At 44.3% G+C, this 12,656-nt stretch overlaps 1 long non-coding RNA gene across 1 annotated transcript; it reads left to right on the top strand.

Annotated features, from left to right (window-relative positions):
* Positions 1 to 6,360: 6,360 nt before the first annotated feature.
* On the top strand, positions 6,361 to 10,197 carry LOC107984750 (uncharacterized). The gene is made up of 3 exons (XR_001751627.1): positions 6,361 to 6,584; positions 9,013 to 9,203; positions 9,839 to 10,197. It is a non-coding gene; the product is annotated as an uncharacterized LOC107984750 (long non-coding RNA).
* Positions 10,198 to 12,656: the final 2,459 nt, after the last annotated feature.

Genomic DNA, 12,656 nt, shown 5'->3' with positions numbered 1-12,656 from the left:
ACCAGTTATGGCCAGTCCCTCTTCAAGGACAGGCCCAGGCCTGGGCCTGGGAGCAGAAGATTTGGGAAAGCAAAGGACCAGTGGCAGACGGACACTGAGGACATTTCTGCAATGGTCCAACCAAGAAAAGATGGATGCAGAACAATGGCAGTGGTGGTGAAAGTAGAAAAGAGAAGACAGACGCAAGAAAAATATTAGCATTAGAATCAGTGAATTGTGGCAACTCCCTAGATATGGAGGATACGGGAAGAAGGGGCAAAAAATGACTTGGAGTTTTCCAACCAGGGTAATTTTGAGGATGGTGTAGGCATTGGTATTGATTGGGCTGGACATATTTACTCTGGCTCACTGGGAAGGGCAACGTGCATGTGTACAAAACTTGACAGTTGTCAAGGCTTTTCCATTCTCACTGGCCTCATTGGTCCCTCACAGCAACTTTTGCAAGGCAGGCAAGGTGGGACAGGTAATGGCATTCCCATTTTACAGGTGAGGGAAATTGGCTTGTTGGCATGGGTCTCAGGCCCTCGGGGTGACACAGCCTGGAGCTAGGACACAATTGGGCACCAGGACCCGGCATCAGGCCAATCTGAGTTGGGGTCTCCTTAATTGCTGCATTCGTTCAGTCTTTGCCCAGGAGAAACTGCATCTGCCTCCATTTTCTGGCTTGAAAAGTTGAAATTTCGTCTTTCTCTGTGGTTCATACCAGAAGTCCTTTTATTGGTCAGTCTCAAAGGGATCAACTTCCTTGTACTCTATTTAACTGATATTTTTAAAGCATCATAATTGGATGTTTATATTATTATATCAGACTAGGGAAGGACTTTTCAAATATTACTTAAACCCAGAAGCTGAGAAAGAGAAAGAGAGAGAGAGAGAGAAAAGGAAGGAAGGAAGGAGAGAGAGAAAAGGAAGGAAGGAAGGAAAGAAGGAAGGAAGGAAGGAAGGAAGGAAGGAAGGAAGGAAGGAAGGAAAGAAGAGAAGGAAGTAAGGAAGGAGAGAGGAGAAAGGGGGAAAGAGGAAAGTAGGGAGGAGAGAGGGGAAGAGAGGAAAGAAGGAAGGGAGGGAGAGAGAAGGAAGGAGAGAGAATAGAGAGAGAAAAAGAAGATAAAAAAGGAAAAGACTAATAAATTTAAATTTTTAGAAATAAACATTGCAAAGACCATAATGAATAAAATCAAAATGCAACCTAGGAAAATACAGTATTTGCAAATAATATTACGAAGGGCTAATTATCCTAATAGATAATTAGCTCTCATTATCTAAACTATCTAATTAAATAGATAATAAAGAGCTCTACATATCAATCTTTAAAAAAGAAAAAAGACCAACAAACAAATAAGAAAGTGGTAAAGGAAATGAACAGAATTCAGAAAAGAAATACATATATTTGTTGAACCTATGAAAATATACTCAGCTGCAAATTAAATGCACTGATAAATCATTTTCCACCTGACAGTTTATCAAGAAGCAAAAAGATTGAACCTGTCTTTGTGAGGTGTAAGAGAAACAGGGATTCTCACACATTGTGGCAGAAGAATGAACTATTATGAATTTTATGGAACAGAAGCAATATCTATCATTATTATGAAGATATATGTCCTTTCACCCTGAAATTCCACTTCTAGAAATTTCTTGTCTAGAAATACTTGCACTTGTACCATATTACAAATGTACAAACTATGTGACAATATTGTTTGTAAAAACAAAACATTGAACACTACCTAAAAGTCTATGAATTGCAGACTGGTTATTAAATTATGACATGTCATCTTAAAAATCAAGAACTTTGATTGGACTGATACAGAATAATCTTTAAGAAATATTAACTGAAAAACAAAGTGCAGTATATATATAGTATAGTGCCATTCATGCAAAATTAGTGTATTTATTTAGTGGTAATTGCACATACAAGTGTGGAACATCCCTGGAAGGATAAACGAGAAACTGGTTACACAAGTTGCCCCTGGGGAAGGAAACTGAGTAACTGGGAACAGGAAAACAAGAGAAGACTTTTTACTATAAATGCTTTCATAGTTTTAAATTTTGGTACCATATGAATTTATTATCTCTGAATAAATTAGATACAAAACAAAATTGAAATGAAAAGCATACTGAAAGGATAAAAACTTTAATTAGCATGTGCTGGTTTAGAGTGTTAGAAATGGATATTGTATTAGTTCTCTATGCTTCATAATGAGTTATCACAAACTTAGCAGTTTAAAACAACACATATTTATCATTTCACAGTTTCCATGGGTCAGAAGTCCAGACACAGCCTAGCTGGGTCATGTGCTCAGGGTCAATCAAGGGTACAATCAATGTATCAGCTGGGCTGCAGTCTCCTCTGGAAGTTTGATTGAGGAAGAATTCAATTCAAGGTTGTTCAGGTTGTTGGCAGAATTCATTTCCATGTAGCTACATGGCTGAGGGTCCTGGCTCTTTGCTGGCTACTGACAGGACACCTCTCTTAGAGTCTAGAGGCTTCTTGCACTTCCCTGCCATGTGGGACTCTCCAGCATGGCTGCTCACTTCATCAAACCCAAAAAGGGCATCTCTCCCCCCGTCTGCTAAGATGAAGTCTTACATGACAAAACATAATCACAGAGTGAGGTCTCATCACCTTTGCCACACTCCATTGGTGAGAAGCAAGTTGCAGTTTCCACTCACATTCAAGGACAGGGATTACACAAAGTGCAAACACCAGGAGGTGGAGATTGCTGGGGAACACCTTAGAGTCTGTTTGCTGCAGATAGGATTTTTGAGGAAAAAACTCTGTGTGCTTACATGTTTTTCTTAATGGATATTTTTTGTGCAATTCCTATATACCAAGGACCATATTTGGCAGTAAAGTGGCAGCAGGAAATAATATAAATAGGCTATATGTGTTCCCAGACTTGTCTCTCTCCCCTCCTGCCTCCGAACTCAAGGTTTTGGAGGCGCATTCTGAACTAATCCTGTCTGTCCCCTGCTCCTCTGAGGAATCAGGGTGGAGAGGTCCAGTTAAAAAGCTCAAGGGAAGAGCCAACATTGAGAAAAATGCAAAACCTAATGTGTGTTGTGCTAAGGATTGCGAAGGAAAGATATAGACAACCAGTAACACACACGGGCTGCTGAGCTGTCAGTGTTCCCCACTGCTACCACCAGCCTCCAGTTGGCTATGGGAGATGCTCACTGTGAAGGTGACAGGCATCTAGGGCCTACTGAGACTGGGGAGGGGAGGGGTCTTCAGACACTCCAAGTTCTTTTTGGCCAATCCCCTCCAAAGCACCATCTTTGTCCTGGGAGCCCTCTTACTACTGGGGTTTCTTACCCTGGGTCAGAGTTTTCCCCACACTAAGAAATGAGAGCTTCTTTTGACCAGCACCCTTAGGGGTCCTCCAAGCAAGGCCAATCTGGTTGAACCCACCATGACCTCCTGTCTCCTCTGGCCACACCTGTCATTTCCAAGGTCCCTACTCAGAAGATCAGTCATGCATTTTCTCCCAGGCCCCTTTGTAATTAAAGTTTTGTGACAGAAGTTCCTTGGGTAGCTCCGGGCCTACGCATTTCATACTAGACTTACAAGAGTAACATGTGCCTTAATGTGGCTGGGTGCGGTGGCTCACTCCTGTAATCCCAGCACTTTGGGAAGCCAAGGTTGGGGGATCATCTGACATCAGGAGTTCGAGACCAGCCTGGCCAACATGGTGAAACCCCGTCTCTACTAAAAATACAAAAATTAGCCAGGCATGGTGGCAGGTGCCTGTAATCCCAGCTACTCAGGAGGCTGAGGCAGGAGAATCACTTGAACCCAGGAGGCGGAGGTTGCAGTGAGCCGAGATCATGCCATTTGCACTCCAGCTTGGGGGACAAGAACGAGACTTTGAGACTTCGTCTCAAAAAAAAAAAAAAAAAGAGCAAAAGAGTAACACGTACCTTAATGTGTCACGAGTGTCATCATCATAGCTACTATGTATTGACTGTTACATGTCTCTGGGCTATAGTCCTGCTAGATTAGTGTTGTGAATTCCCACTTGGTACATGTGTAACCTCAGACCCAGAGAGTTTTGGATTGCCTGAGGCCACTTGGCTCATGAATGAAGAGGCAGATTCAAACCCAAGCCTGTGGGACTGAAAGTCCCTTTTCTTCCTCTCCATGTGGCTGCTCGTTGCTCAATAACTCCAGGTCATGCAGTCAGCATTTCAGTGCAGCCACCATGCAGTGACTCACAGGGTCTTGGACTCCTTGGATGGGGCCTCTCACTCCCATGGGAAGACAACCCTTCACTGACTTCCTTCTGGCAACTCTGCAGAGAGGCCTGGGAATGTCCTGTGCTCAAAGCTCAGAGCCCCCTTCTCTACCGTATTTAAGAGACTCTTCAGCAGCTGATCCAGGCACTCAGGCCTCCTCTCCTCACCCCACCATATGGGAAGAGAAAAACTATTTCTGGGACACCCTTAGGACTCCCCTCTCCTGCCACATAAGGCAGCAGCATCAGATCCGGAGCTGACAGGCCCTCCAAAGTCATTCGCTCCACATGTGTCTTTCAGTGCTTAACTACTTCTCCATCATATCCCCCCAGAGATATATCAGCTTCTGCTTGCACTCCTCCAATGATGTGATGGTGAGTTCACTATTGGGCTCAGATAGTCCATGCCAAACAAACCCAGGTCTCCTCCCTAAAGGGCTGAATTTAATGGCCCAGCCAATGAGGGGACCTCTCATGAAGTTAAGACACTGGAAGGCACTTTCAGGTGGAGAGATTTTTTTAAAAAACTATGGGAACAGGCCTGCATATCCTGCGCATGTACTCCAGAACCTAAAATAAAATAAAATTTAAAAAAAACTAATTATGGGGAAAAAAGCATTACGGAATGAGAAGCTAAACCCCAAGACAAATCTGATTACCCCCCTCCCCTCATGGGTACCTGTCTTTGTCCATTCTGTGCTGCTATAACAGAATACCTGAGACTGGGTAATTTATAAAGAACAGAAATTGATCGCCCACAGCTCTGGAGTCTGCAAAGCCCAAAATCAAGGCATCGGCGTCTAGTGTTTGGTAAGGGCCTTCTTGACGCCTCTTCACATGGCAGGAGGCAGGAGATCAAGTGAATGAATGCTGCGTGGGGCCTTTTTTATAAGGGTCTGAATCCCATTCACAACACAGGAACCTTCATGGCCTAATCACCTCTTAATGACCCCAGTTCTTGATACCATCACATTGACCACTAAGTTTTAACACCTGAATTTTGGGGGGGACACACTCAAGCCATAGCAGTCCCTGCACCCCCAGGACAGTGCTCAATCTCTCCCGTGTGTCATACAAAGACCTTCACCTTCAAAGGGCCCCAACATGACAACCCAGGCCCATTGCCTGCCATGCCCTGCTTCCTACTCACTCTACACTCCCACCAGCCCAACCGTGCAGCTGCTCCCTGAAAACAAGACCCTTTTGCACTCCCCACCTTGAGAGATGATGGCTCCCCCTCCCAGACTGCCCCATCCCCTTCACTCTTCTTCGCATGCCCTTATGCATTGTCTGAGCCTCAGTTCAGTGGTCAGCTCTTCCGTGAAGTCTCTGCCAGCCCCCCAGGAGTTAATCCCTCCCTTGCCTCCAGGTCTCTTGCAGTGCTTATAACAACGTAAATAGCTTCCATGGCCTGAACACCTAACAGGGTACCAGGCACTGCGCTAGCACCTGGGCATGCCTCAGCTCTAGCTTTCATTAAGAACTCTTTGTAGAAGGCATTATCATCCTTAAAAATAAAAGCAGTCAGTGAGAATAGACAGAGATACTGTCTAGACCAGGATCACATGGCTAGCTGTGGATCCAGGATTTAAATCCAGGTCTCTTCTCTTTCCACACCTACAATTACATTGTGTTGGGATACTTCCCTCCCACTCTGGGCCAGGGTTTCTTAAACTCTTCTAGACTTTGGCCCTTATTAACAAATACATTGTATATTACAATCTAGTACTCACCTACACACATACATTTTCAGAAAATAATATCTACCCTTTCTACTTTCAGTCCCTCTGATCTTCTCTATTTTGTTTCATTTTCTTATATGCTGGTCATGATCCACTAAATTGATTTTGTGATGGGGTGGGATTCCCAGTTTTAAAATACTGCTGTGGATTGCCAGCTCCTGCATTTACAGGCCTCGCACAGGGCTTGGCATACAATAAGTACTCACTCAGTCCCCAAGCCTGACTTCCATTGAGCCAGCCCTCTGCCCTGGCCTTGGGAAATAACTGATCCCTGAAAGCCAAATAGGCAAGATCCCTGGGGCCTCACAACCTTGGTGCTGAATCCATTTCTCCCAGTGTTAAATTCAGAATGCAGCAGAAGCTTTCAGAAGAACAGCTGGAGATTTAGCCTAGCTAGGAGAACGCGGCTAGTCAGCAGGTCCAAGGCAGCAGAACCGTGTGAGGCTCTCTGGTCCCAAGGGCCAGGGTCAGGGACCTGCCCTGGTGGTCGCACAGCCTGGCCTTGGGGCAGAGCAGGAGTGGCAAGGGTCAGAGGCACAGACTTGGATGCTGTCAGCTTCCTATGCCACCCTCCATGGGTGGTGGCACATGCCAGCCGGGCAGTGACAGGCAGGTGAGTTTCATCAGCCCTGGATTTCGCTTCTGACTAAACAGTGATTGAGCTCACTAGGACGATGGGTTCTAAATTTAGCACCAAACTCTGGGAAACTGGTGCATTTGCCCCCACTGCCTGCGGCAAAGCAGGCTGCGAGGGCTCTGCTTCATTCCTCCCACTCCACCTGGGCTGTCCTGCAGCCCGGGAGTCCCGCTGACTCACCCGGAGCTGCCAGGGTGGCAGGAAGCACACCTTACCCACCTCCTCTGAAAGGCTGCTGTTCAGCTGGGGGAAGTGGGTACAGGTGAAACCTTCAGGGAGCTCTCAGTTTCAAAGGCCTTACAGGTGCCCCCCCACCCCTCCACCCCACTGACTCCATCAGTATCTGCCTCTGCAGCCCTCCTAATGCCTCACTCCACAGCCTGAGCTGGGCCTAGTCCCAACTAGCTCTATGCAGGGGGGCCTCGGGTCTCTGTCCTACTCTTCTTCTGTACTTTGGAGCTGAGGGGAGTCTCCTAGGGTTAGGCAATGATAGCTCCTGCTCTGTCATCCAGTCCTAAGAGCTTTTACACAGCTCTTGAATTACAGGTTGCAACTGGGCTCTCTGAATCCTTGGGTCATCTCCCTTCAACCTCACTAAAACCCCTGTGAGATAGGGACTATGATGAACTCATTTCACATAGTGGAAAACTCAGGCTTGCAGAGGTTCACTAACTTGCGGGACATTATACAGCTTGGCCAATTCAATACCAGACCCCTGCTTTTAATGGCCTCAACTCCACTTGCTTCTGTGCCTGGGAACCTGCCCTAAACTTTGTCCTGGAACTTTGCCCAGCTGTTGGTATCACTGACCTCCCAGAGCATGTGAAATAGAGCCTGGGTTAGGATGAGACTCTACAGCTAGAGTCCCTTGCTAGCTGTGTGGGTCTGGGTGTGTTAATTAGCCTCTCTGAGGCTGTTTCCACATCTGTAAAGGAGGGGTGGCTTCGTAATCTGTTCAGTTGGCTAGGCTGAGCTCCATTTTACAGAATTCCCTTCCCTGTGTATTTCTGGCTAGGATGGCTTACAGGAAACCTTCGGGCAACAGCTTTGCAGGGTGGAAGTGAAGCTGGCAGCCATTTTGTAGCTCACACGGCTTGTTGCTTACCTGCTGGCCTACGTCTTTGGTGTGGGGCCTGCGACTTTTCTACCTTCCCTGAGATCTCTGTTCAGCCTCTTCAACCTCTGAGTCAGGCCTGTGTATTCAGCTCTATGACAGGGCACCAGCCTCCCCTAAGGATGCCCAAACTGCCAAGGCTGGAGGTGCAAGAACTGATGTGGCTCGCAGGCTGTCCTCGTGGTTTCCACCTCCCCCTAGTTTGCCTGGGTCTTTCCCAATTTTAAAACTGAAAGTCTTGAATCTCTGGAAACCCCTTTAGTCCTGGAAATACAGGAGAGTTGGTCCCCTTGTTCCAGTTTGTGCTCATGGGATCCAGCTGGTTCTTGCTCTCTCCTGCTCATTCATCTCCCTTCCCAGCTGCCTGCCCTGTGGAATTCAAGGTTCCACATTAGATGCAATGAACCTGCCTCACAGAGATTGCTTAACCAGCCCCCACATTGTGAAGGTCAAACTTCTATGATAAATCCTGATAGATAAGATAGAGAGGAGGGGAGACAGAGAGATGAGGGGAGAGAAAGAGGAGAGAGTTATCAGGTGGTAACAGTGTTTGCCTCATGGAGCTGTCAGCGTTAAATGAGATACACACATGCACAGTGCCTGGCACAGAGGTAGCAGTCCACCCATATTAGATGTTATTGTTGTTATGTAGCCTTTGCCACTTAATGAAGGTCACAAATTGCTCATGTGTAAGATGGCAGTAGCAGTAGCTGATCCTCAGAGCCATAGATTGTAGGTGAAACTAATCTAGGATTATAGCACTTGACTTTGGCAAAGATGTTAACTGGGAGGTGCATCAGAGAACCTGCTGGGGTGCTGGCCAAGTTCTGCCTTGATGGTGGTGGTGGTTACATGGTGTACACATATACGAAGCTTCACTGAGCTATACTTGTAAGATGTGCACACTTCACTGCAATATGTTATAACCCAACAAAACATTAAATTTAAAAATAATGTTGTAGTGGATAAACCAGGAGAACTCATTCCCCTCTGCCATCAATTTGCTGTATGACCTCATGTAACTTCTTTGGATCACAGTTATCACATCCATAAAATGCATAAGCCTTATCAGAGGTCAGGAAACTGGTCCACATGATCTCCTTGTCTCCAAATTCTCTGGATTTGTTTCAAAATAAACAGAAGAGAAGAAGTAGCTAAAGAGGAGGCCCCTGAAGAATTGAGGCACAACCAGTCAACAGGAACTGGGCTACCCTTTATGGGGTGCCTAGTACTTGCATTTCTAGGCACTGTCCTTTGGACAAAGACAGTTGTCGCTTTGTGTCTACACAGGAAACACCTATATGAAGATGCTTCGGAATGCCAGAGATGCTGTGGATCCACAGTAGATCTGAATGCCTGGGTTTGGTAGCAGTCACTGGGGAATGGCAAGGGAAGGCGTATGCCCGAGACCTTGTCACCTGGAGAAGGAAGGATGAAATGCTCATGCCTATAGACCCACTATGTGCTGGGCTCAGCACCAGGTGATGCACACACACACTGTCCCATTTTACCCAACAGTGGCTTAATGTGCAGTCACAAAAAAACAACAGATATGTGTGAACTTAGATTGTATATTCTTCATTCATTTGCATTTCCTAATTTTTTACTATATTTATACAGCAAAAAAAACCTATAGAAATTAGAAATTGAAAAATATGCAACTGTCAAAGAAGTTATTTTTCTCTCCGTGGCAAGGGGTGACTACGGTCAGATTTCAGGAATCAGTTGCACATAATCCTAAACAGTCCTAAATTAAGGCAAAGTTAGGCGGTTATTATACCAGCTGTATCATCCAGGGACTGTGATTGTCCCAATCGCCACGTGTTTGATTTCAACTTTGATTAACTGAAAACAGGCTCGGTTGGAGGCAGAGAGACTAGTCGCGAGGCTCTGGCAATAGGAAACAGTCAAAGCGCTACTGAACCCTGTTGCTATAGCAACAGCATAGCAAAGCTATTTAGTTGTTAACTCCTGAGAGAAAAAGCAGGAGAAAAATTAGTGTAAAGTTATAGCACAATTTGGACTGCAGGTATTTAACCTCCTTCCCCCCAATGCTCCTGTGAGTATATTCAGCATGTTCCCAACTAGCTAAAGCTGTGCTCTCTCTCTCTTCTAGGCCAGAAACCATATCTGAACCAGCGAGACTAGAGTTATTTGAGGATGATCCCTAGAATGGAGATTTCAAATCACACTGTGCAAATGAATCCCCTGGGGACTTTGTTAAAATGCGGAATCTGACTTGCAAGCTCTCAGGTGATGTGGATGCTGCTGGTCCACAAACCACACTTGGAGTAGAAAAGCCCTAGTCTAGACTGCTAAACTTTTATGAAGGAAGGTACTGGAACAGGCATGTCTTGTTCTCTGCTCTATCCTCCAGGTCTAGCATGGTACCTGATACAGAAGTGTGGAGGGGGAGGGCAAGGAGGCTCAATATATGCTGTATGAATAAATGAGTGAATGAATAATGAATATTGGATCCATTCACATGCTTATACTGGCCTTTTTAACCAGAAAAGTGATGCATGTCCAAGGTAACATCATGAAAAGCAAGCCTTCCCTCCTCTCTGGGCTTCTGGACACCTTTTGACAGGTCTTCACTTATTTTGTTTTATCCTTTCAGAAATTATTGTTAATATACATCTTTTTTCCTGACACAAATAGCAATATATTACAGGCATTACTCCACGTCTTGTGGCTTTTTTCATAATATCTATACTGGGGATTGCGGAGTCTGAATCTTTGTGTCTGCCCCAAAGTTTAGATGTTGAAACCTAACCTCCAAGGTGACAGTGTTAAGACGCAAGGCTTCGGGAGGTGATTGGGTCATGGGGTGGAGCCCTCATGAATGAGGCTAGTGCCCTTAAAAAAGAGTCCTGAGGGAGCTTGTTAGCCCTTTCACCTTTCCAGCCGTATGAGGACACAAAGAAAGCACCATCTCTGAGGAACAGGCCCTCAACAGACACTGAACTTGCTGGCCTCTTGATATTGGACTTCCCAGCCTCTGGAACTGTGAGCGATAAATTTCTGCTGTTTATTAATTCCCCCATCTCAGATATTTTGTTATAGTGGCCCAAAGGGACTAAAACAGAGATTGTTCCATATCTGCACATATAGATTTACTTCATTCCTTTAAACAGCCATATAGGAGTCTATTCCAAATGCCTTTACTCATTCCCCTTTTGCTGGACATTTCCCATTTTACAAGTCTTTTGCTGTTTCAAACTATGCTACAATAAACACCCTTGTATATATATCTTTGTGCACATGAAAGCAATCTGTTGAATAAGTTCCTGAGTCAAAGGGTGCCTGTACTTTTTATGATGCTAGATAATGTTTAATTGCCTACCAAAGAAGTTGCACCAATTTTGCAGACTCATTAACATTTTATAAGAATGTCTGGTTCTGTTTAAATTCTATATACTGTCGGTTTTTAACCTAATCAACTTGATAAGTGAAAAGGAGTCCTTGTTTTCATTTGATCTTATTAAATATGAATGAAATTGGATATCTTTTCACACGTTTCTATACCGTCGTATTAACTAGTAAAGTGTTATTTAGGAACATTATCAATGTTGCACATTGATTTGGGAACCAGAAGCCTGAATTCTCTTACTGTTTTGTTTGTTTGTTTGTTTGTTTGTTTGAGACAGTTTCACTCTGTCACTCAGGCTGGAGTGCAGTAGTGAGGTCTCGGCTCACCACTACCTCCACCTCCCAGGCTCAAGCGATTCTTGTGCCTCAGCCGCCTAAGTAGCTGGGACTACAGGCACATGCCACCATGCCTGGCTAACTTTTGTTGTTGTTGTATTTTTAGTAGAGATGGGGTTTCGCTATGTTGGCCAGGCTGTTCTCAAACTCCTGGCCTCCAGTGATTCACTTGCCTTGACCTCCCAAAATGCTGGGAATACAGGCATGAGCCACTGTGCCTGGCCTCTCCTACTGTTTCTAATAGTGTTTTTTCAGTTTATTTGTTGGGTTTTCCAGTTATACAATCACAGCATTTGGAAATAATAATTTTGTCTTTTCCTTTATGATTTTTATTCTTTTTAAAAAATGTATTATAGTAAAAAGACACATGAGATCAACGCTCTTAATAAACGTGTACAGTAAAGTATATTTAACTACAAGCATAATTTTGTACAGGAGATCTCTAGAACTTTTTATCCTGCATAACCAAAACTTTTTATGCCCATTGAATAGCAAGTCCCAATTTCCCTCTCCTCTAAACTCACCATTCTACTTTCTGCTTCTATGGTTGACTACTTTAGATATGTCATAGAGGTGGAATCATGCAGTATTACTCTTCCACAACTGGCTTGTTTCACTTAGCATAATGCCCTCCAGGTTCATCCATGTTGTCGAATATGACAGGATTTCCTTCTTCTAAGACCAAATAACATGCCCATGTACACCACATCTTCTTTATCCATTCATCCATTGATGGACATTTAGGTTGCTTCTCACTCTTGGCTTACAATTTTTATACCTGTATTTCTTTCTCTTATTGTTTAGTGCTCTAGAAAAACTATCAGATAACAGTGGTGAGAGTGAGCATCCTTATCTTCTTGATTTTAACAGTATTAATAGGTTTTCATCATGAAGAATAGTGCTTACTTTTGGTTTAAGATATGTTTTTTGAACCAGGCACGGTGGTGCATGCCTGTAGTCCCAGCTGCTCGGAAGGCCTAGGCAGGAGAATCCCTTTATCCCAGGAGGGCAGTGAGCTATGATTGCACCACTGAACTACAGCCTGGGTGAGAGAGAGAGAGAGATCCTGTCTAAAAAAAAAAAAATATATATATATATATACACATACATATATATACACACACATATATATACACATATATATGTATATATACACACACGCACATATATATTTGACTACAAGCACAATTTTGTATAGCAGTACAACATATATATATATATTCTTG

This window comes from Homo sapiens, chromosome 15 (assembly GCF_000001405.40).
Source record: "Homo sapiens chromosome 15, GRCh38.p14 Primary Assembly".
NCBI classification, from domain to species: Eukaryota; Metazoa; Chordata; class Mammalia; order Primates; family Hominidae; genus Homo; species Homo sapiens.
The sequence above is the reverse complement of the archived record's forward strand: the minus strand, read 5'-3'. Positions and strand labels throughout refer to the sequence as shown.